The sequence below is a fragment of the Homo sapiens genome, chromosome 15, assembly GCF_000001405.40.
Source record: "Homo sapiens chromosome 15, GRCh38.p14 Primary Assembly".
Classification (NCBI taxonomy): domain Eukaryota; kingdom Metazoa; phylum Chordata; class Mammalia; order Primates; family Hominidae; genus Homo; species Homo sapiens.
In genome coordinates, this window is record NC_000015.10 from 70,855,279 (window position 1) to 70,879,875 (window position 24,597).

At 44.0% G+C, this 24,597-nt stretch overlaps 1 protein-coding gene and 1 pseudogene across 1 annotated transcript in view, besides 5 other annotated features; both read left to right on the forward strand.

The window, feature by feature from the left end:
• LRRC49 (leucine rich repeat containing 49) overlaps positions 1-24,597 on the forward strand; it is a 200,281-nt gene that overhangs the window by 1,901 nt on the left and 173,783 nt on the right. The window contains exon 2 of the mRNA NM_001284357.2: positions 17,630-17,945. Coding sequence (NP_001271286.1) covers positions 17,928-17,945 — 18 coding nt within the window. The 5' untranslated portion in view covers positions 17,630-17,927. The remainder of the gene's footprint in view (positions 1-17,629; positions 17,946-24,597) is intronic.
• Positions 3,359-5,084, forward strand: KRT8P9 (keratin 8 pseudogene 9; annotated as a pseudogene).
• Positions 15,416-15,971: an enhancer, noted in NCBI's record as "NANOG-H3K27ac-H3K4me1 hESC enhancer chr15:71163033-71163588 (GRCh37/hg19 assembly coordinates)". NCBI's record gives its function as "activates a minimal SCP1, AML or CMV promoter by ChIP-STARR-seq in primed H9 embryonic stem cells {active_cell/tissue: H9 hESC(primed)}" and the evidence as "EXISTENCE:reporter gene assay evidence [ECO:0000049][PMID:30033119]".
• Positions 15,972-16,529: an enhancer, noted in NCBI's record as "NANOG-H3K27ac-H3K4me1 hESC enhancer chr15:71163589-71164146 (GRCh37/hg19 assembly coordinates)". NCBI's record gives its function as "activates a minimal SCP1, AML or CMV promoter by ChIP-STARR-seq in primed H9 embryonic stem cells {active_cell/tissue: H9 hESC(primed)}" and the evidence as "EXISTENCE:reporter gene assay evidence [ECO:0000049][PMID:30033119]".
• Positions 20,802-20,861: an enhancer, noted in NCBI's record as "active region_9700". NCBI's record gives its function as "activates an Ori minimal core promoter by ATAC-STARR-seq in GM12878 lymphoblastoid cells {active_cell/tissue: GM12878}" and the evidence as "EXISTENCE:reporter gene assay evidence [ECO:0000049][PMID:35858748]".
• Positions 20,872-21,071: an enhancer, noted in NCBI's record as "active region_9701". NCBI's record gives its function as "activates an Ori minimal core promoter by ATAC-STARR-seq in GM12878 lymphoblastoid cells {active_cell/tissue: GM12878}" and the evidence as "EXISTENCE:reporter gene assay evidence [ECO:0000049][PMID:35858748]".
• Positions 22,619-22,795: a silencer, noted in NCBI's record as "fragment chr15:71170236-71170412 (GRCh37/hg19 assembly coordinates)". NCBI's record gives its function as "represses an EF-1alpha promoter that drives an FKBP-Casp9 reporter gene in an ReSE screen in K562 erythroleukemia cells {active_cell/tissue: K562}" and the evidence as "EXISTENCE:reporter gene assay evidence [ECO:0000049][PMID:32094911]".

Sequence of the window (24,597 nt, forward strand, 5' to 3'; positions counted from 1 at the left end):
GAGCCGAGATTGTGCCACTGCACTCCAGCCTGGGCAACAGAGCGAGACTCCGTCTCAAAAAAAAAAAAAAGAAAAAGAAAAAAAAAGAAAGAAGGAAAGAAGAAAAAGAAATGAATAAGACCTGAATCTGCTTTCATGTAGCACTTTATTTAGAGCCTTAAACATAATTTATCATATTAATTTGCCACACTGGGACCCCAAAACAACAGAACCCTGGACCAATACATTTGTTTTGATATAGAAAGACAAGTTAGGATAGGCTTAGGAAATGAGGTCTCCTGGAGGGCAGTGTCCTTGTAAAAGAACACCATGTATAGGGTCCTGGGTGTCTGGGCAGGGCTGGGGAGAGACCCAGGGGCCCAGCGAGGACAGCCCCTCTTCTTAAGGACACTAGAATCTGTGTCCCTTTCTTTGTCGGACCTCTGTTTTGATAGAAGAGGTCCTAAAATAAGTAAGTAAAGGAAGAGAGAGAGACCTTTGGTGCTATTGCTGTTTCTGCACCAGAACAGCTCACAGCCCTGGATCTGAGCTACTGGGAAAGGAAGAGGCAAGAGGCTGACAGTGTCTTTTTCCAGCCAGCTGTGCCTCCCTCCAGGGCTATAGATCCTCTGCAAACACCTGTGATGAGGCTCAGAAGGAAAGAGCTGCAGCAGCCACCATGCCTTCCAGTTTGATAATTTCGGTTCCTGAATTTCACAAAGTGATACCCATTATCTATCTCATTTAAGCCATCTCGTGTGGCAAAGACATCAGGGGTTGTTATCCTTACCCACAATGATGGCTCACATTCATCTCAGGTTTTATAGTTTATGAACAATTCATACATGTCTTTTCAGGGTTTCCAAATGCCTGATCATAAGAGTCCCCTGGGGACTTTTCTTAAAATATAGATTCTGAAAATACAGTTTGAAAACTGACAGTTGGTGGGTGAATCTGGGCTGTAGAAGCGTTTTACTTGGTGAGAGTTTTGAAAAAAAGAAATTGAATTTATATGTCCTTACATTCAAACATATCTGCCTATGTTGTTTCTGTTATTACTTATTTCTGACTCCTCATAAAGGAATTTTGGATCTAGAAAGAATGTCAGACATCATCCAGCTCGGAGCTGCTCCTGGTAGGGAATGGGTAGTCTGGCAGAGTACCCAAGAATGGGTACTCTTAGGGGTACCCATTAAGTCATAGCATAAATATGGGGCATCTTTCTGGGGTATCAATTTTACTTAGCTATTTGAGAGAACAGCCACAATGTATATATTAAAACAACTTGGAATATCTGTGAAATCAAATGCAAAACTTGCACGGAATGTTTAAGGCAACTCACATAAGTTTCTCATTTATAGTAGTTGGCTTAGAATAATGCCTAGAGGAGCGGAGGACAGAAACCCTCATTTGCACTAGGGGTATTTCATGGGAGAAGTCCAACTCGATCACGTTTGCAATGAGGAGAGTGAGTCCCAGTGAGGCTTAGAGGGAAGGGCCTCTTCTTCCACTTTGTTGCACCCGATTTTGTCTAGCAGGGAGCCTTCATCTAGGAACACTTGCTGATTTGCTTTGATTAGTCCTACCCACATACCCATCATTTGTGTCACTGGTGAAGAAACCAGGGCTTTTAAAGGGCTCCTTTCGATTTCCAGCTTATTCCTCCCCAGAGCCGTGGCAGGGGAAGGGAGGCCAGTCCCACCCAGGCCTGTCTTGAACATCATTGCAGGGAGTTTGCATCACCACTGAGATGATTAGCAAAGCCTCTTTAAACAAAATCATGACCTCAGCCTGGAGTTGGCATCTTTCCCTTCCCTGGAATCTTGACAGCTCATTTTCATAGTAAACTCACAAGGGGAAACAGCTTTTTCCATAGCTCCTGAGGATGAAACAAAAGGAAGCACATTGACAAGCCATCAGGATGGACTGAGATTAGGTTGAAGGAAAAACTCAACCCTAGAAGACCTTTCCAGTATATACAAGGGTGTTGTTTGGAATCAATTGGAAATATTTTTGAGTGTGCCTGGCACTACAGCTGGAAACCAAGGACTTGGAATAAGATATTGTGGTGAAGCTGGGAAGTTGGGACAAGGCTAAGCGTTGAAGAGAAGAAGAGTAGTCCCAGCTACTCGGGAGGCTGAGGCAGGAGGATCCCTTAAGCCCAGGAGGTCGAGGCTGCAGTGAACCATGATGGCACCACTGCACTCCAGCTTGGGCAACAGAGACCCCATCTTCAAATTAAAGGAAAAAAAAAGGGGTCTGTTTTAACTGTAGGTTCAGAGGGCATTTTTATCTACTCATTTAATCATTTGTTTAAGCATGTCCCAAATACCAGGACCTGTGCTATACTCAATTTTGTAAAATGCCTGAGACATGATCCATGAATACCAAGAGATGGAGGGAGCCTAGGAAAGACAGCCTTCAATAATAAGACTGTGTCTATGCACTAAATGCTGTAACAGAAATCCATATAGGGAGGCACAGCCAGTGAAAACATCCCCAAGGATGCTTTGAAGCTGACTAGAAAAGCTCACACATAAGCAGCAGGGTATAATGGAAACACGCTCACTTTATTATCAAATAGATCTGAATTCAGACTCCAGCCTTGCTGCTGCTTAGCTTCATAACCTCTCTGCTGTTCAGTTTTCTTACCTGTAAAATGTTCTGAATGATCCTCACTTAATTGAGTTGGGCTCACAGATAAAACTAGGTTGTTTGTGAAAAATGTCTAGCACAGACCTGGCCCAGATTAGACACTCAGTGTATGCTAGTAGATTATGATGCAGCGTTCCAAGAACCTTCATACCAAGAAAACCTTAGCCTGAATGGGAAACACAAACATTCCAGTTGCTGAGTATGTATATTGCTCCATTGTAAATTAATAAATCAGTTTTTTTCTAGATGCCATACTCTTAAAAGTTGAATCTGGTCTGCAGAAGTGTTTTGCTTCAGAGCCAACCTAATCCTGAATACACTGACAAAATCGAGGACTTCCCTGGCCAGAAACCAGCATCTTTCTATAGTTTCTTTTTTTCTTTTTCTTTTTTGAGACAGGGTCTCACAGCTGGGTGCAGTGGCTCACGCCTGTAATCCCAGCACTTTTGGAGGCCGAGGCGGGCAAATCACTCGAGGTCAGGAGTTCGAGACCAGCCTGGCCAACATGGCGAAACCCTGTCTCTACTAAAAATACAAAAAAATTAGCCAGGCTTGGTGGCGGGTGCCTGTAGTCCCAGCTACTCAGGAGGGTGAGGCAGGAAAATCGCTTGAACCCGGGACGTGGAGGTTGCAGTGAGCCGAGATTGTGCCATTGCACTCCTGCCTGGGCGACAGAGCGAGACTTGGTCTCAATTAAAAACAAAACAAAACAAACAAAAAAAGGACCAAGAAGCAGCTTCTCTGCTCCTTCTGGAATCTCCGCCTGGTTCAGCCCGCCTGCCTCCACTCCTGCCTCCACCATGTCCATCAGGGTGACCCAGAAGTCCTACAAGATGTCCACCTCTGGCCCCCGGGCCTTCAGCAGCTGCTCCTACACAAGTGGGCCCAGTGCCCGCATCAGCACCTGAGATTCTCCCGAGTGGGCAGCAGCAGCTTCTGGGGTGGCCTGGGTGGAGGCTGGGTGGTGGGGCCAGTGGTATGGGAGGCATCACCGCTGTCACGGTCAACCAGAGCCTGCTGAGCCCTCTTAACCTGGAGGTGGACCCCAACATCCAGGCTCTACACACCCAAAGAAGGAGCAGATCAAGGCCCTCAACAACAAGTTTGCCTCCTTCATAGACAAGGTATGGTTCCTGGAGCAGCAGAACAAGATGCTGGAGACCAAGTGGAGCCTCCTGCAGCAGCAGAAGATGGCTCGGAACAACAAGAACAACATGTTCCAGAGCTATATCAACAACCTTAGGTGGCAGCTGGAGACTCTGAGCCAGGAGAAGCTGAAGCTGGAGGTGGAGCTTGGCAACATGCAGGGGCTGGTGGAGGACTTCAAGAACAAATATGAGGATGAGATCAATAAGCGTACAGAGGTGGAGAATGAATTTGTCCTCATCAAGAAGGATGTGGATGAAGCTTACATGAACAAGATAGAGCTGGAGTCTTGCCTGGAAGGGCTGACTGACGAGATGGACTTCCTCAGGCAGCTGTTTGAAGAGGAGATCTGGGAGCTGCAGTCCCACATCTCGGACATATCTGTGGTGCTGTCCATGGACAACAGCTACTTCCTGGACACGGTCAGCATCATTGCTGAGGTCAAGGTGCAGTAGGAGGAGATTGCCAACCGCAGCCAGGCGGAGGCTGAGAGCATGCACCAGATCAAGTATGAGGAGCTGCAGACGCTGGCTGGGAAGCTTGGGCATGACCTGCAGCCTATAAAGACTGAGATCTCCGAGATGAACTGGAACATCAGCCGGCTCCAGGCTGAGATTAAGGGCCTCAAAGGCCAGATGGCTTCCCTGGAGGCCACCATCGCAGATGTGGAGCAGCGTGGGGAGCTGGCCGTTAAGGATGCCAACGCCAAGCTGTCCGAGCTGGAGGCCTCTCTGCAATGGGCCAGGCAGGATATGGTGTGGCAGCTGCGTGAGTACCAGGAGCTGATGAATGTCAAGCTGGCCTTGGGCATCAAAACTGCCACCTACAGGAAGCTGCTGGAGGGTGAGGAGAGCCGGCTGGAGTCTGGGATGCAGAACATGACAATCCATACGAAGACCACCAGCGGCTATGCAGGTGGTCTGAGCTCCACCTATGGGGACCTCACAAGCCCCGGCCTCAGCTACAGCCTGGGCTCCAGCTTTGGCTCTGGCGCAGGCTCCAGCTCCTTCAGCCGCACCGGCTCCACCAGGGCTGTGGTTGAAGAAGATTGAGACCCGTGATGGGAAGCTGGTGTCCAAGTCCTCTGACATCCTGCCTAAGTGAACAGACGCGGCAGCCCCTCCCATCCTACCCCTCCTGCGGCTGCCCCAGGGCCCTGGAGGAGGCCGCTGTGCATGGTATCACAGGGAACAGGAGACCCACCTGAGGCTCAGCCCAAGCCCTCAGCCCACCCGCGGGGGAGTTTACTGCCTGGGGACACCCCTTACCCATGCCTCCAGCTACAAAACAATTCAATTGCTTTTTAAATAAAACCTCAGCTAGCCCTACCAACTGTCAAACAAACAAACAAACAAAACCAAAAAACAAAAAGGAGAGATGAGGTCTCACTCTGTCGCCTAGGCTCGAGTGCAGTGGAGTGATCATAACTCACTGTATCCTTAAACTCCTGGGCTCAAGCTATTTTCCTGCCTCAGCCTCCCAAGTAGCTGGGACTACAGGCATGCCACCACACCTGGCCAGTTTAAGTTTTTTGTAGAGATAGGGTCTTTCTATGTTGTCCAGGCTGGTTTCTAACTCTTGGCCTCCCAAAGTGCTGGAATTACAGGTATATGGCATTGCACTCTGCCCTATAGTTTATTTCTAACTTCAATATGAATTAAGATAGTTATCCATAGGTGTGAGATTTTTATGAGTATTGTCCATTAATATTTATTCTTTCTTGTCTAACAATATCAATCCCCAGTTTTAGATGGCTATATGGCCACCTAATTAGTGATTACATTTCCCAGCCTGCCTTGCATATTGGTATAATCATGTAACTAAATTCTGGCCAATAGGATGTGAACAGAAAGGTTTTCTGGCCCTTCTGGGTTGTGTGTCTCTGGCTTTTTCCTCTACCCATTGGCTAAAGTGGCCTTGTCGAACCCAAGGATGGAAGTCACATGTTGAGGAGAGTTGAACCAGCAAACACGCTCTGGATTTGTTTGCTGGGCTGTAATGTGGATCATTATTTTAGAAAGAAAGAATCTCACACTTTGTCTAATAGACTGTATTTTGATATATTTTTGTCACAGACTTAACCTATATCCTACTTAATGTCTAAAGTATTAGATATTAATGCCTAATATTAATAGAAGATTGAATTATATAACACATGGAAGTACCTAGTTCAGGGCCTAGGATATAGTAGCTACTCAATAAATTGGTGTTGAATTTGAATGTAACAACTTAAACATTTATTGCATGGCAAAAGCAGGCAAATTATGTGGTACAAATGATGCAGGAGTCCAAAAGGAATAGAATGTAGTTCCCCCTATTAGCATAGGAGCTCGTGTTCTAGTGGGGGAACCAGATTCTTTATTCCTTCTTCTTCTCTCCCTTCAGAAGAATAGCATTATCAGCATTATGAATGGAAGTCGGGTCATTGCTGCAGGTGGTAAAAAGAGTAGGGTTTTCTAAAAGGCCCTCAGTACTGTCTCCCACTCCCCTAAGTTTGAGGTGCTCCCCACAAAGCAACAACATCCCCAGTTTGGGTCCCACCATTTAAAGATAACGTCTTGCTCTCATAATATTAATTTCTTTGTGGCATATTATCAAATTGTTTTGACACATACTTTGGAAAGTATATTCAAGCTTTACCTGCCATTTATGTCTTGTGGAGGACTGGTTTATCAAACTGATGAGGAATGTCACAAGTTAAAAATAGATGGAGACCCTTAGCCGGGCATGGTGGTGTGCGCCTGTAGTCCTAGCTACTCGGGAGGCCGAGGCAGAAGAATTGCTTGAACCCAGAAGGTGGAGGCTGCAGTGAGCCAAGATCACACCACTGCACTCCAGCCTGGGTGACAGAGTGAGACTCTGTCTTAAAAAGAAAAAATAGATGGGTTTTATTTTAGAAGGGTGAAAGAAGGACTAGATCTAGGCGAGTGATCAGTAACAGCAGGTATGAAAGTGATTGGTAGAAATTCTAAGAAACACAGGCACAGGTACTCATTTTTTTCTTGAGGGAAAACCTAAAGAATTTACACAAAGCTGGACCACACATAGCAAGAGAGCCAGCTGCCTACTCCGGCCTGAAGGGCGAGCCCACCCTGGTCCTCCATTCCCCAGGAAGACACACAGCAGTCAATGCTTCTCCCTGATCAGGGTGAGGGCTTCATTAGGTCAGAAATTCTCAACTTAAGTTGCATGTTAGAATCTTAGAATCACCTGGGGGGCTTTTAAAAATTCTGAGGCTGGCCGGGCGCGGTGGCTCACGCCTGTAATCCCAGCACTTTGGGAGGCCGAGGCGGGCGTATCACAAGGCCAGGAGATCGAGACCATCCTGGCTAACAACGTGAAACCCCGTCTCTACTAAAAATACAAAAAATTAGCTGGGCATGGTGGCACGTGCCTGTAGTCCCAGCTACTCAGGAGGCTAAGGCAGGAGAATCGCTTGAACCCAGGAGGCAGAGGTTGCAGTGAGCTGAGATTGTACCACTGCCCTCCAGCCTGGGCGACAGAGCAAGACTCCGTCTCAAAAAAAAAAAAAAAAAAAAAAAATTCTGATGCCCTACCAATTAAGTTCTGGGGTTAAGACCTAGACATTAAGCATCAGGCATTATACCTAGCTTTCAAAGCTCCCAAAATGATTCCAACATGCAGCAAAATTCAAGAACCTCTGTGTTCGGTCTTTCAAGCCATATTTTTCAGGTTCCTCCCAACAGGTCTGGAGACTCAGGCTAGTGGTTCATCTGATCTCCAGGTGCAAGTAACCAGCACAATTCAACCCCAGCATCTTCCTAGAGTTTACTGAGGGACTGGGTGACTCAAAGATGCATTTCTCATGTGCACTATTTCTTAGCAGGAGCAGGCATCAGACCAGCCTGCTGCAAACAATTGTTCAGGTTGTACACAGCACGAGGATGCTTGGCATAGGGGATAAAGGGATGAAATGACTGCCTAAACTCTGCTCACCAAGCTGTCACCCTGGCCTCAGACTTGGTGCAACTAGAGGGGAAAAGGGTAACTATTTCTAATTCTCACAAATGAGCTAAAGTGGTCCTTTGTGCCAATAGTGGCCCTGGTTCAGGCCTGCCTAAGGTAGAGGCAAACTGAAATTCAAGGACCACGGGCATCAGAATTACTAAGGAACTTATTTAAATGTATAGTCCTGCATCTTCACTCCAGATCAAATGAGTCATATCTCTGAAGATACAGCCTAGAAATCTGTGTATTTAATAATCTCCCAAGTGGTTTCCATCAAGCTGAAGTTTGGTGGCCACTGACCGAAGGTATGGGATGGTCTTTCAATAAAAACAACAAATTGAACATCTCCTACATGCCAGGCCCATGCCACCATTCAAGGATATGAGAGCAAACAAGACCCCATCCTTTTCTCAAGTATTCTGGTCTAATAGAAGACAGACAAAAGCTGTGGGTCCCAGGAGGAGCCCAAACTATGACCTCTGCTGGAGTTCAGATATCTGGCATATTCAGAGAACCAGTTAGCAGATTCAAAAATCCCTACAGGAGGGACTGAAGCTCCTCCCAGAAGAATAGTCATCCCAGAGAAATAGGAGCCAGGCACCACAAGCCTGACTCACTAACAAAGCCTCCATTGTCAGAAAAGATGAGTGATTTGGGGGACAGAGTAGCGTCTGATATGTGTTTGTTTGCCTGTGGGCCAAGGCCCTGCTACCCAACCTCTGTGGTCATGTATCTGAGCCCTGTGGAAAGCTAGGGGGACTGTACATGAAAACTGAAAAGCCTGTTTTCCTATAACCCCTATAAACTATTTCAGCACAAGGAATATGACTTTGGGATCCCACTATCTGAGGGTGCACATCACGAGGGGAGGCATTTTTTGCCACTGCTCAGAATAACATCTCACAGCTTTGGCACCTTCTGTGCTGCTCATCAGCTGCAGGAGGAGACTTTGGTGCCTGGTGGACACAGTTGTGCCCAGGGAAGTGCCTGTAGTGCCCATTGGATAGGGTATAGTCTAGCAGAGGAGGCTGGGGCAGTAAAGGAGGGACAACATGCAGACACCAGGTGGTGACTAGCTAGATTCGTCTATGAACACACATGAGACACCCCCGGGGAATGTCCACAGATACTTGGGCAGTGTTTGAGGGGCTAGGTTTGTGTATTAATAACATTAGTGGGTAAAAGGGCTCAAGTGGAAAGAGCTCCCCCCAGAATGGGTGACAGACTCAGTTTCTCTCCATTTGTCATCACTTTTACAGCAAGAACTTGGTGCCTAATCAGGATGACTTCTAATTTGTAGCCCAGACTGCACATTCTAAAGACACCGAGAGGCCCTGAGGCATGGGCACCAGGATGGATGAGGCATTGAGAGGGAAGAGCAGGGCCCTGGAGTTCCCAAGGGGAGAGGTGTGGGTGATTTCCTTTGCCTAATTTGGAAGGCCTAGAGCATTCTGGCTCCAGGCTGCCTTTCCACCCTCATCTCATGTCCATCTTGCCCTCACTCCCTCTGCTCTGGCCATACTGAATTTCTCTTAGTTTATCTGAAGGCACCACTCTTCTGTCCTTTAAACGTGCAGTTTCAGATGCGTGACATGCTTATTCTCTCCTTTTTACCTGGCAAACTTCTAATCTTTCAGGTTTTAGCTAAGATATCACTCAGGGGAACTTTTCTGGATTTGCCAGTTTAGTGTACGGGACATTCAATGCTGTCCATAAACTCAGATGTGGAGAAAATGTAACTCTTTGGGGTGATGGAAATGGAATCTCAGTTTCAGTTTGGGTTCTTCTCATAACTTGGGCTAGGGTCAAAATTCCAGGTGTCTGTTCATCAGTCATCTGTGTATCCGGGAATCTAGCAACTGAGATGTCCATATCATTAAGTCAGGGCTCTCTTAGCTGCTTCAGTGCCAAATTTGGGGCACTAGGATCTTTGCTAGGCCCTCTATAACCCCATATGCCTAGAGTCAACACCACCAGCACAGTCATTTTCTTCCTTTTTTCTCCTGCTTCCATTCTGGAAGAAGCCTTTTCCAATTCAGGGACAAGTTTCTTTCATCTTGAACTTGGGTCCTTCAGCAATCCTCCTGCCTCGGCCTCCCACAGTGCTGGGATTACAGGTGTGGGCCCCATGCCTGGCCATTTCTCTTAACCCAAATCTCTATTCTGCTTAGTGGTTACTGGCTTCTTTCCCAAAACTTTGTATTAGTTTCGTAAATACAGAAAGGTTGAAATAATAATAAAATGAACATTCTTATGCACTCTACTGAATTCAAAAATCGTTAAAAATTTATCACCATCTTTTTTCACCTCTCAGTACTTCAGCCTGTCTTCTAAAGAGAAAGACATTCACCTACAAAACCACAATATCATGGTTGCGTCTAACAAAACTGTTGATAGTTCCGTAAAATTATCTAATAGCGAGTTCATATTCATTTCCCCAAAATGTTTCATTCCAAGAATGTTCATTATGCTTCAGAACAAAAACCAGGATCCAATTTAGAGTCACACATTGCATTTGATGTTTATGTCCTTCTAATTTATTTACATCGAGAATAGTCCCTTCACCATTTTATATTGTTATTGTTGCTTCATGACATTGAATTTTTGAAGGATTCATGTCCGTTATCCTAAAGAATTTAGGCTTTTGAAAACAAAAGCCAGAGAACTCTGCCCCAGACTTTCCCTGAGGCAAGAAGTATAACCTACCTGTCTGGTTTTTTGAGGACTGAGAGTTTTCCCTGGCCATGGGACTTTCAGTGTCAAAACCAAGAAAATCCTGGGCAAGCCAAGATGAATTGGTCACCCTAGAGGCAAGGAGGTATGGACTTGGATATTTGCTTGAATGGTTGCAAGGCATAGAGTGAAACATTTTTTAAAATGAATAATCCGATATTATGCAGCCACACTTGGTTAATAAGTAGGTTCATAGCATCCTGTGTTTATACTCTTGCAATATGCATCATATTTTTGACTCTGTTTAACATCTGAATTTCCCAATAGACAGTAAACTCCATGAAGGCAGAGACATGTATATCTTTCTCATTACTCTAATCTCATTGTATCCCCATAGTTCTGGTACATGTAAAGTATTTATTTATTTATTTATTTATTTATTTATTTATTTATTTATTTATTTTTGAGATGGAGTCTCGCTCTGTCACCCAGGCTGGAGTGCAGTGGTGCGATCTTGGCTCACTGCAACCTCTGCCTCCGGGTTCAGGTGATTCTCCTGCCTCAGCCTCCTAAGTTGCTGGGACTACAGGCGTGTGCCACCATGCCTGGCTAATTTTTGTATTTTTAGTAGAGATGGGGTTTCACCATGTTGGCCAGGATGGTCTCCATCTCTTGATCTCGTGATCCGCCCGCTTCAGACTCCCCAATTGCCGGGATTACAGGCGTGAGCGACCACGTCCGGCCACTAAGACATGTTTAAATAGTGAGGCTGCAGCCCACTGGTAATTTCCATACCCCTGTTCACTGAGTCTTATTAGGTTAGGTTTCTGCATGGAAATCTTAACAAACATTCTGTGCAACTGTCCTGGCCTTACAGATGAGACTCCAGAAGTTTAAATCATCTTCAAGATCAAATTAAGACCTTAACTTCTAAGTCCTCAGGGTCTTCATGCAGTGACGGGATATAGATAAGGGTAGAAAAATATCTGGGAATCTGGAGATACTTAACCCATTGGCTAAGCAGCACTGGACCATATACCAAGGTCCTAAGGAAATCAATCACACCTTAAGAAAATTTAACTAAATTGGACAGAAATTAACACAATTTCATTCAGTCCTTGCCTTATTCTCCAGATTTGAATCCCCCAGGGTCATTAAATGATTGGCCAAGTAGAGATTGGGGTTGGAAAGTTGAAATAAGGTATAATTATGAACCTGGCCTGAACTCCAGATCGACTCAAGGCCAAGTCTGGCCTTTGGAAAGTCTTTGGGGTTAAAGATTTGGTAATGGACTTAATGTAGCATTGGGTACCTGATTATAGAGAATTCAAGTGGAGGCTGATCGGAACGGAATCCTGATGGCCAAGTTGCCCAAGGCTATCAAGGTCCAAGCAGAAGACAGCACATCTCAATGCCTGCTCTCTCATTCCTTTCACCCTCTTTGGAAGAAGGTCTACTTGAGAACTGTGCTGAGTCATGTAGGCCTGCCTTTGTGACGGGAATCCTCATATCAGACACTCTCCAGAGAAAGAGGCTTGTAAGGGGCACCATGAAGTATCAAAAGAAAGACTGAAAGACAAGAGCATAGAGAAGAAAAGAACTTCCTGTGAAGAAGTTTTGAAATGCATGATGAGATTTGTTTTTTTCTTCTGAGCATCAACAGAGTATTTTTTGTGTCCTTCACATCAGGGTGAAGAAGACACCAAAGTACTGTCCAAGAGATGACGGGAATGGCCATTTTTGGAGCAATTACTGTGTTCTTGGCCTATGACCTCATTTAACCCTTGCAGCAGTCCCAAGTCCCAATGATCCCAGTGAGGTATTGTTAGAAAACTAAGGCTCAGCAAAATTAAGTAACTTGCTAAAGGTTATACGGCTGGGATATGGAAGTGCATAAAGATTTATCCTCACACTGTCAGACTCCAAATCTATGCTGTTCCCATTATCCCACCCTGCACTCTTCTGAAGATGCCATGGGCCTAACAGTCCTTAACAGTCTCAGAAGTGGGGGCATTATTAAATCCAGGTGAAAAAGACAGTCATTGCTGGCGTGCTATATGAAGGGCACTGGAAAGACTTTTGCTCCCCAATTTTCTCTACCACATCTACCACAATGCCTGCAATCTTGTCACGCATTTCTTTGAGATGAGTATTGGGGTCCTGCTTCTGAGAGCCATTCAAAGTGGACTAGTCTGATCTAGAGGTTGTGGGGTGAGGTGCTCTGTACTCCTCTCTGTCATCTCTATTTTGACACATCGCAGATGCTCCGGCAGCTCCGTTTCTGGGTATTAGCTGTCAAGTTGAGAGCAGAGTGTTTTTCCTTCTCTTTGGCTTGATTGTCTTTCACCCTTGGGGGAAAGGGAGGGGGGTGCTAATGGCTTGGAGGGTGGCCAGACTATTCCATTTTGCAATCTCCAGCCACAGCTGCTAAAGAAAACTTATATTGTATTTTCATTCTGTGGGGAAAACATGTTTTGTTTTGTATTCTTGTGTAACCATGAAACATCTGGGGTAACCTTAGCTAAAACTTCCTTCCAGTGTTCTATTGGGGCTAAATGATATAGAGAAATTTTCACCTTGAAATGTAAGCTATGACAGTGTAATACGTTATTATGACATGCGCTTGGATACGTACCCAGTAGGGAGCCATCCAATTATTACAACTCAGGCCCTCTAAACTAAAATCCCTTATACTTATGTTACATCACACTGTCCCTTATAAATGGTCAGGGCCAAGAAAATGATATTTGGTCACTCAAAATTGGGGAAACACTGTGAGGGCTTAGGCAGAACTCTTCAATGCTTTCAACTGGTGGCTCTCAAAATTGAGCATGCATCAGAATCACCCAAAGGGCTTGTTGAAACTCAGATTTCTGGCTCCCATTCTCAGAGTTTCTGACTCAGTAGGTCTAGGGTAGAGCCTGAGAATTTGCTTTTCTACCACGTTCCCGGGTGATGCTGATGCAACTGGTCTGGGGACCATAAGAATCTCAGCTTTAAACTTGGGTCACCCCAAATGTGGAATTGAATACAATATACAGGAGAGGCAAAAACTATATACAGTGACAAGCTTCAGTGTCATGCTTTGTTTCGTTTTTCTAAATAGGTAAGAGCTGATGCTAAGATGAGATAATCCCATCTAATCATTGTGGGTGGTAGTACAAGTTAGTATAAACATTTTAGAAAACAAATTGGCAGTAAATAAATATTTGTAGGCATTGATCCCACTTCTAGGTACCTCTAAGAAAATAATCAGAAATAAGCACAAAGATTAAAGTATAGGGATGTCTATTGCAGCTTTATGTAAAATGATAGATACTTGGAAATCACATGAATATTCAGTAGTTTATCAATTATAATAATATCTCTACAGTGGAGTATTATGCCACCATTAAAGTAATTGGAAAAAAAATTTTAATGATAAAAAGAAATGTTTATGATAGATTATTATAATACATGAAAAGCTCAGGTCACAGAGCTTTATTTATCATTTATCAACTATATAATACATATATACTTCTACAAACAGCATATCAACTAAGGAAACACACTGACATGTTAACAGTAATGATTTCTGGATAGTATTATATTTGTTCTATAGATGCCATTCACTTCTTCCCTGCCTAATCTTCTAAAATAATCTATCCCACTCAAAGCCTCCCCTCTTCTGGAAGGAGCTTCTTAGACTGCCATATTTAAACCAAATGATCCCACCCTTTCAGTGGTAGGCGATTGGCTGTAGGGACATGTGATCCAGGGTGAACCTACTAGTGAGTGTCTATCAAACACTGTACTGCTAAACCCAGAAACTAGGGCTAGACAGCTGTGGAATGTACATATATTTAAGTAGGGCTGGTGGGCATTTTAGGCTGTGTGCAAGCAGAGGAGGCTACTACAGATCCGCTGCTTTATCAGCGATTACTGTCAGTACAATACAGGCCCAGGAGCTGACCAGCACACACATGCAGCAGCCCACCCACACAGGCACAAATCCTTCTTAAAAAGCAGGCAATGGGGAGAGGTTGTAAATATTAAACTGTAATACCCTTGTCCCTGTTATGCTTCCAATATTCTCCCTTTTTGCCTTGAGCTAGTGAAAGTGGGTTTCTCCTCTTTGCAATTGCGTCCTAAATTAACAGGTGATTTTTATTTGCTTATTTGTACGTGTTTGCTTTTTTAAAATCAGCTTCCCACACTGAGTTTATTACTGATTTTATTAACAGAAAAATATTAAAATTAAAATCTTGAGCTGCAGCTAAAAAAAAAAATTATTTAGTGCAAAGTTTCCTATTTGCTCACTAGCCCCTACATCCAGACCCTCTTATTTCTGACACTCTGAGCTTCAGAAACTGAGAGGTTTTCTTTGGTTTCTTTCAGTTTGGTACAAAATCCAGAGGACAATTTAAGTTTGGAATGTGTCCAAGCAAAATTCTTTTTCTGTACTAAGCTAAGAGGATTCCAACAGCAAAGACTGATGCAGAATAAAAGATATAGAGCATGGTTTTCTCCATTGATTTATAAACATGAAGATTGGAATGGATGAGTCATCAGCAAATTGAATTGGGAGGGATTGCTGCAGAGCAGCCCACACTTTGTCATAAAAATTCTGCTGCAGTATCACACTAGCTCAACTGTGGTTTACCATTTTTAGAAACATGAGCAAATGCACTATAGTTGGTTACCACTTTTTTTGTGACACTTGAGGTTCATGTGAAGTTGTATCAATCCCAAAGAGTGATACACTTCAAGACAGGACCATTTGGTATAAGCAGTAGGTAATTGTTTTTGTTTTGTTTTGTTTTGTTTTGAGATGGAATTTTGCTCTTATTGCCAAGGCTGTAGAGCAATGGCGTGATCTTGGCTCACCAAAACCTCCGCCTCCTGGGTTCAAGCGATTCTCCTGCCTCAGCCTCCCGAGTAGCTGGGATTACAGGAATGTGCCACCACGCCCAGCTAATTTTGTATTTTTAGTAGAGACAGGGTTTCTCCATGTTGGTCATTCTGGTCTCAAACTCCTGACCTCAGGTGATTTGCCCGCCTAGGCCGCCCAAAGTGTTGGGATTACAGGTGTGAGCCACCGTGCCCAGCCAGCAGTAGGTAATTCTTAACCCTTTCAAGGTCATCATCTCAATTTCTTCCCCACTGGGAATCAAATTGTAACTAAAAAATGATTGCAACTTATTTTAAGAATTTCTAGATATGCTGCAAGATATTTGAGGGCAGGGACTGATTCTGCCATGCTTAGTTTTTTTTTTTTTTTTTTTTAGTATTTATTGATCATTCTTGGGTGTTTCTCGGAGAGGGGGATTTGGCAGGGTCATAGGACAATAGTGGAGCGAAGGTCAGCAGATAAACATGTGAACAAGGGTCTGTGGTTTTCCTAGGCAGAGGACCCTGCGGCCTTCCGCAGTGTTTGTGTCCCTGGGTACTTGAGATTAGGGAGTGGTGATGACTCTTAACGAGTATGCTGCCTTCAAGCATCTGTTTAACAAAGCACATCTTGCACCGCCCTTAATCCATTTAACCCTGAGTGGACACAGCACATGTTTCAGAGAGCACGGGGTTGGGGGTAAGGTTATAGATTAACAGCATCCCAAGGCAGAAGAATTTTTCCTAGTACAGAACAAAATGGAGTCTCCCATGTCTACTTCTTTCTACACAGACACAGCAACAATCTGATCTCTCTTTCCTTTCCCCACATTTCCCCCCTCTCTACTCGACAAAACCCCCATCGTCATCATGGCCCGCTCTCAATGAGCTGTTGGGCACACCTCCCAGACCAGGTGGCGGCCGGGCAGAGGGGCTCCTCACTTCCCAGACGGGGCGACCGGGCAGAGGCGCCCCCCACCTCCCGAACGGCGCGGCTGGCCGGGCGGGGGCTGCCCCCCACCTCCTGGACGGGGTGGCTGCCGGGCAGAGACGCTCCTCACTTCCCAGACGGGGCGGCTGCTGGGCGGAGGGGCTCCTCACTTCTCAGACGGGGCGGCCAGGAAGAGACGCTCCTCACCTCCCAGACGGGGTGGTGGTGGGGCAGACACACTCCTCAGATCCCAGACGGGGCCGCGGCCGGGCAGAGGCTCTCCTCACATCCCAGACGGGGCGGGGGGGTAGAGGCGCTCCCCACATCTCAGACGATGGGCGGCCGGGCAGAGACGCTCCTCACTTCCTAGACGGGATGGTGGCCGGGAAGAGGCGCTCCTTACTTCCCAGACTGGGCGGCCGGGCAGAGGGGCTCCTCACATCCCAGACGATGGGCGGCCAGGCAGAGACGCTCCTCACTTCCCAGACGGGATGGCGGCCGGGCAGAGGCTGCAATCTCGGCACTTTGGGAGGCCAAGGCAGGCGGCTGGGAGGTGGAGGTTGAAGCAAGCCGAGATCACGCCACTGCACTCCAGCCTGGGCAACATTGAGCACTGAGTGAGCAAGACTCCGTCTGCAATCCTGGCACCTCGGGAGGCCGAAGCTGGCAGATCACTCACGGTCAGGAGCTGGAGACCAGCCCGGCCAACACGGCGAAACCCCGTCTCCACCAAAAAATACAAAAACCAATCAGGCGTGGCAGCACGCGCCTGCAATCCCAGGCACTGGGCAGGCTGAGGCAGGAGAATCAGGCAGGGAGGTTGCAGTGAACCGAGATTGCGGCAGCACAGTCTAGCCTCGGCTCGGCATCAGAGGGAGACCGCGGAAAGTGGGAGACGGAGACGTAGGGGAGAGGGAGAGGAGGAGGGGGAGGGCGAGGGGGAGGGAGAGGTACTTAGTTTTATCCCTGGTTTGTTGAATGACTGAAAAAACATTCATATTGGTGCTAAGAGATGAGCCTAGGGAATAAGTGCTTGGGAAGTAACTTTCCAAAGGGTCCGGTTCTGGGACTGGGTTTAGAAGCTTGAGATGATGTCAAAGATAAAGTTGTGATACGCTTTAGGGTTTCCAAAAAGTGTGTGTTCTAAAAAGATGAGAAAATTGTCAAGAAGGAGAAATTGCTGGCATTTTTAAAAAAGAGAAAATTGAGACCAGACAAGTTCCATAGGCAGCATCTCAGAAAGCTCTCATATCCACTGAGGAGAGTGATTTGCATGTACAGCCATGGAGACCCTAGAGAGAAAGAGGACGTTTTCTCCAAGAGATTCCAAGACTTGTGAGAGAAATGGCTCTGGCTCAAAATATCTTATAAACTTGACATAACTTTTTTTTTTTTTTTTTTTTTTAGATGGAGTCTCACTCTGTCGCCTAGGCTGGAGTGCCGTGGTGCGATCTCGCTCACTGCAACCTCCACCTCCCAGGTTCAAGCAATTCTCTGCCTCAGCATCCCGAGTAGCTGGGATTATAGGTGCCCGCCACCATGCCCAGCTCATTTTTGTATTTTTAGTAGAGGCGGGGTTTCACCATCTTGGCCAGGCTGGTCTTGAATTCCTGACCTCAAGTGATCCACCCGCCTTGGCCTCCCAAAGTGTTGGGATTACAGGAGTGAGCCACCTCGCCCAGCCAACTTGACATAACTTTTAAAGATGGATTGCCAAGCTGAGGTAAGTCTACACTTTCAGTTGACATAATTTTGTATAACAATTATACTCTGCTATCCCCTCACTGAACTAAAACATCATATACGGTCAAAATACTAACTAAAGCTATTATACAAGAATGAAAAACTGAGGGTCATGGTGAGGAGGGAACAGGAAAATAGTGATTGCCTTTTCCTTAGGGAGTCTTTACCACTAGTGTATCAGGTAGTGCTTGCTGCATGACAAACAACCCCACAATTTAATGGCCTAAAATACAACCATTGATTCATCTTACAGTTGCATGGGCTGACTGGGCAGCTCTTCTCTCTGGGCATGCTTGGCGGATTTGCTGGACTTCCTCATGCTTCTCTGGTCAGCTGGCATGTTGGAGGCAGCCAGATGATCTAGAATGACTTCCTTCATGTGTCTGACAGTTGGAGGGCTCTTTGCAAGGGACCAGCTGCTTCTCCACATGGAGTCTCCTCCATAGGGGGCTAGCTTGAACTCAGTCACATGGTAGTCCTAGAGTTCCAAACACAGCAAGAGGACAAGCCCAGGGCTCAAGCACTTTTAAAGCCTCAGTTTATATTACCTTTACTAATGTCCTATTGGTGAAAGTAAGTCACATGACCAAACCAAAGTCAAGAAGTGGAGAAATAGATTTTACCTCTTGATGGGAGTGGAAGAATTTTTGGCTATTTTTACAATCTACTGCAACTAGGTGGTAGGCTTAGTAAAGAATAAACCAATAGGTACATGGAACTGTAGAAAGGGATTGAGATGTCAAGGATACAGTCCTTGACTGTAGAAACTCTACATTTCCTGGGTGTTGTTAGTAAACCAGTGTGTGAATGTCATTTAGTCCAGCTAGGGAACCTTCTGTTTGGGGATTTCCCTGGGTTATGTTATCTCAGAGCCCAACATAACTTTTGAGACTCTGATCGGAACTGCAAACGCCATCTTGGAACAATCCTGGAAGTGTTCTAGATGTCTGGGATCCTTCTGTTCTGACACTAACGAGGGAGGGATGAGCTCCCTGGAATATCTGCAAACCCATCCCTGCTGGTTTAGGTGAGAAAGAGGATCTACCTTTTCTTCTCAAAGACAGGGATTAAGAGCCAGGAGGTACAAAGGGCAGGTGGGTGGGCAGCAATGATAGAATAGGCTAGTTATTTGAACTGGGATCAAGAAAAGGAAGGATGTAAATAGTAAGCCTGCTCCAAGTGGGAAGCAATCAAATTGATAATTTGATAATAAGCTGGAGACTATGACCTGGAGACAAGTTGGGGAACATTTAAAGAGCAGGTGGAAGAAGGTTGACAGTCTTTTGAAGCGGTTTGCATTTTTTGGTTTTTAGATGACAAGCTACAGAAAATTCAATCTCAGCTCTGCCACTAATCAGTTATGTGAGTATGGACAAATTGCCTCAGTTAATTTCCTCATTGACAAAATGAGGCATTTTAACTGGAAGATTTTTCCAGCTATAACACCTTCAGGGAATCTAGAAAAAGAAGAAAAGGACTGACATATATGTGAAAGGAATAAGTCTACATGAGGAGGAATCCCCTTCAGAAAGCATTGGAACAAGTACTGAGGAAGATTTTCAATCTCTAAAGCTTTAAAAACATGATAGATCCCTATCATTCTTCAACAAATATTAACTGAACTACATGCCAGGCATTGTAGACAGAGCAGTCAGCGAACAACAGCAGCATGCCCCTGTGGGGCTTACAGGATTGTTTGAGTTTGATCAAATGGTTCTAGATGATTTCACTAAGTAAGAGTTGCAAGCACATCCAGCTTCATTATTCAGTCATTTCTGATGAAGAGTGGGATCAATTTTGCCAGAAATGGAGACATTGGATTGCTAAGACAATTTGCAGGCTGGGATTATACCAGATAACTTCTCTGATCTTCAGTTTCTTCATCTACAAAATAAAAGTGTGAACCAGACCATCCCTAAAGTTCCATTCAGCTCCAAAATTCCAATTCGGCTGCCCAGCAGTTCTTTGGTGCTTTAGCTCAGCAACTCCATCTAGTGTCTCTGTGAAATGAACTTAGAAAACATCCAGTGTACTAACTATTGACTAAAATGAGAGGCCACAAAAGAGACTGGACATAACTAAAGGCAGGGCTCGGAATCAAGATATATGGGTAAGGGGTTGATGGGTTATAAGTCATATTTAACATGATGTTTACAATGTGTCAGGTGCTGTTCTAAGTGGTTAGCATACATTTAATTCTCACAACAAACCTATGATCGAGGAACTAAAAACAGCCGTACTTTACAGATGAGGGAACGGCCCAAAAAGGCAAAGTAACCTGCCTAGTAATTGGCATAACTAGAATGGAAGCCTAGGTAGTGTGTTACAAAGTCCATCCTCTTAGGCAATATCCTTTCCTGCCTCTAGCTAAGAGTTATGGAACACTTACCATGTGCCCAGCAGTGTTCTAGGTTTTTCATATTGTAATCTTCTCAACAGAAATATGTTGTAGGTACTAAAATCACAATTTTGCATGGGAGTAGACTCAGGCCCAGAGAGATAATGTAATTTATCTAAGTACACTATAGCCGATAAGCGTCTTGGAGCCTAGATTGGAACTTCGGTATTCAGCCAGGGTGAAAGAAGCATCCAGGCTGTTGCCATGTCCCAATAATTTTTTCTCCCACTTTCCTAAATGTCACTGATCATGATTCTTGGTACATAAAGGGAAGATGCAAGGAGCAAGTGCTAGACAGTTTCTTTCTTTTTTCTTTTTTTTTAGTGGATTATCTGCAGAGCCAACTCTTGAATATTCAGAAGTTAATTCAATTAATGGATAAGACAGGCTTAAGTGCATGTTCTTGGTCTCTCCAGCTTCTCATTTTCGATCACTTTTGCCAGGTAAATAATGAAGACTTTAAGTGCCACAGGAAGTCTAAAAACTCTCCTTTAGGGATCCTACATCATGGTTTCAACGATCACTTTCATGTAAATGCCTCTGAAAGCTACATCTCTACACCTCACTACTCGAATTGCCTGAGAAACACATCTGCTTTCCTGTTTCATTATCTTCTGAAACTCAACATTCAGTATTCATTTAGCAAATGCTTGTAAAACCTTACCATGTAGGAAGAACATTTGGAAACCCCTTAGACCCTTAGAACAGTGCTTGGCACAGTGAACTACTGTCTTTACCTTCAGGCTGTGTAGAGTCTAGTGGGGGAGATTAGTAAACAGTCACAACACAAGGTGATAAATGCCATGATGGGCTATGCATGACATGCTTTGGTAGTATGCAGTGACATTTCATCCAGTCTTCAGAGAGGGTGAGGGTAGGGTCAGGGTAGGTTTCTCAGGCAACTCATTTCTAAAATTGAAATCAGCACCTTTCTCCCGAGATTGGCTCCTTCTTATAGTACTAATAGTACTGCCAGTTCTTGTTACCCACACTTGAAAACTCAGTCATTGTTTACTCTTTCCTTGTTCACAAATCCGTAAAGTAACCACCATGTCCAGTCAATTCTTCCTTTTCTATCTTCTCCATTTTTTGCCTTTCCTCACTCTAGGTCAATATTTTACCTTCTCAAGCCAGGACTATTGCAAAGGCATGCCATCTCTAACAAATTTAATCCATTCCAATTCTTCTTGTGCTATGCTCCAGATTCATTTGCCTAACATACTTTCCTGACCCCAAATCTGAAAAGTTCATTCAGTGCCCAAAGGTTAAAGGCCATTCCGCTTGTTCTGGCAACATTCTGCTTGTCTATCTGAATCTTTCAGAACTCCTTTGTAAATCTTCAGTCTAATGATGCCACTCTCCTTCTCACTCATCCTTTGCTTTTTATGCATCCGTGTCTCTACTGACTTTTTCTGGGCCTTCAGTCCTTCCTGTTGGTTTTTAAAGCATATTTATATCCTCTCTCTCCTTAAAGGACCATTACAATTCCACCTATTTTGTGAAGCCTACCTTAAGAAACTACAGAATTTATTGCTTGAACTATCATTTGGCAAAATAATAGTGTATTGCTTTTTCTTTAACATGCTTTATAAAGGTATAATTTACATACAACTATTAATACAATGTATGTATTAATGTAACCCTCATCACATTGGGGTATAAAACATTCCATCTCCCCTAAACATTTCCTTGCGTACTTTTGCAGGGAATGTTCCTCTGCCCTAGTCCCAAGCAACCACTGATGGATTCCTTTCTGTCACTATAGATTTTTTTCTTTTCTAGAATTTTATACAAATAGAAATATAGAATGTGTACTTTTATTTGTGCCTGGATTTTTTTCACTCAGCATAATACTTTCAAAATTAATCCAGGTTGTTTTGTATATGTTTGTTTTATTTCTAAGATAATTTCATTATTTGGATATACTTCAATTTCCTTATCCACTCACCTGTTGATGGACATTTGAGTTTTCAGATTTTGGCTCTTATGAGCATTTGTGTAAAAGTCTTTGTGTGGACATGTGTTTTCTCTTGGTAAAGTACCCAGGAGTGAAATTGTTTGGTTGAATGATATGGGTATGTTACCTTCATGAAAGTTTACCACATTGTTTTCCAAAGTGCTTGTAGTATTTTGTATTACTACCAGCAATGTAGGAGAGTTCCAGTTGCTATTGCTCTCCAACAGTTTGTTATTTTAAATTCTTTGTGGCTGGGCGCGGTGGCTCACGCCTGTAATCCCAGCACTTTGGGAGGCTGAGGCAGGTGGATCACGAGGTCAGGAGATTGAGACCATCCTGGCTAACATGGTGAAACCCCGTCTCTACTAAAAATATGAAAACAAAATTAGCCGGGTGTGGTGGCGGGCGCCTGTAGTCCCAGCTACTCAGGAGGCTGAGGTGGGAGAATGGCGTGAACCCGGGAGGCAGAGTTTGCAGGGAGCCGAGCTTGCAACAAGCCAGGATCACGCCACTGCACTCCAGCCTGGGCGACAGAGTGAGACTCTGTCTCAAAATAAATAAATACATAAATAAATAAATTCTTTGCATTTTCCATATTGTAAATGAAACCAGTTTTTTTTAATCTCAGTTTCCAATTGTTCATTGTTAGCATATAGAAATGAAGTTGATTTTTGCATATTTGGTTTGCTAAACTGATTTATTGGTTCTAGTAGCTTTTTAATAGATTTCTTAGGAGGTTCTACGTACATAATCATATCATCTCTAAAAAAAGGACAACCTTATTTCCTCCTTTTAAACATCTGTGCATTTTGTTTTGCCATTTCTTCCTTTTTGCCTTCTTTCCTTTTTTTCCCCTTGCCTTTATTGCACCAACTAGGATCTTCAGTATGATGTTGAATAAAAGTATTGAAGAATGGACATCCTCACATTTTTCCTGATCTAGGGATAAAGCCTGTAAGGGAACATTAACTATGGATTTAGTGGCATACATTCATGGCTGCTATTAGGTGAAGAAAGTAAATTCCTTTCTATTCTTAGTTTATTGGTAGGTTTTTATCATAAATAGATGTTGACTTTTGTCAAATGTTTTTTAAATCTAGTAAGATGAAGGTGACATGATTTTTCTCTTTCGTTCTCTTAATATGGTGAATTACATTGATTGGTTGTTGAATGTGAAACCAGCCTCGTGTGGCTGAGCTAAACTGTACTTAGATGTGATGTATTATTTGTATAATGTATTGCAGGATATGTTTGCTAATAGTTTGTTAAGATACACACATAACTTTACAAGGGATGTTGGTTTATAATTTCTTTTCTTGCAATGTCTTTGCCTAGTTTTGGTAATAGGTTAATGCTGAACTCATGAGATGGGAAGTGTTCTCTAGTCCTTTTCTCTTGGAAGAGCTTGTATAAGATTGGTATTCTTTCTTATGTTGTTTGACAGAATTTGAAAGTAAAGTCGTCTGGGCCTAGAGTTTTCTTTGTGGAAAGGATTATAATTACAAATTCAATTCCTTTAACAGATATAGGCGCTTCAGACTTTCTGTTTCTCCTTGTGCCAGTTTCGATAGCTTGTCTGCTTTAGCTCTAGAATTTCCATTTGGTTCTTTTTTTAGTTTCCATCTCTCTGTTGAGATTCCTCATGTCTCTTCATTATGACTACATTTTCCTCTTGGAATATATTTATAATAACTGCTTTAAAGTTCTTGTCTGCCAGTTCCAACTTCTGGTCATCTTGGGGTTGGTTTCTATTGATTCCTTTTTGTGTTGATATTAGGTCACACTTTCTAATTTCTTCACATGACTAGTCATTTTAAATTATACTGGACATTTTGGATGATAAATTGTTAACTTCTTCCTAAACACTTGAATTTTGTTTTAACAGCTGGTTAACTTGGCTGGACTCAAACTCCAAACTCCATTTCCACTGTGATGAGTAGCAGCTAAGCTAAGGCTTGCAACCGTTGTTTTATGCCGGGCCCCCAGAGGTCACAACACAGGCATAGCTCATGATTAGTCAGAGATTTGGGTGGAGTTTATGAGATTTGGGGTCTCCTCCCCTCTGGCTTCCTCTTTTCCATGACTTGCCCCATCACTTTTCACTCTGGCAGCACTGAATTCCTACCTCTGATTCCTTAGGCCAGTAAGCCTGCAGCTTTCCAGAAGTCCCACAGAGGAATATTTTTGACTGAATAAGCTTTACATTCACATACTCTTGACATGTCTCTCTTCTCTCACCTAAAGTCCAATGATTTTTTAAACTTACTTTTCCAAGTA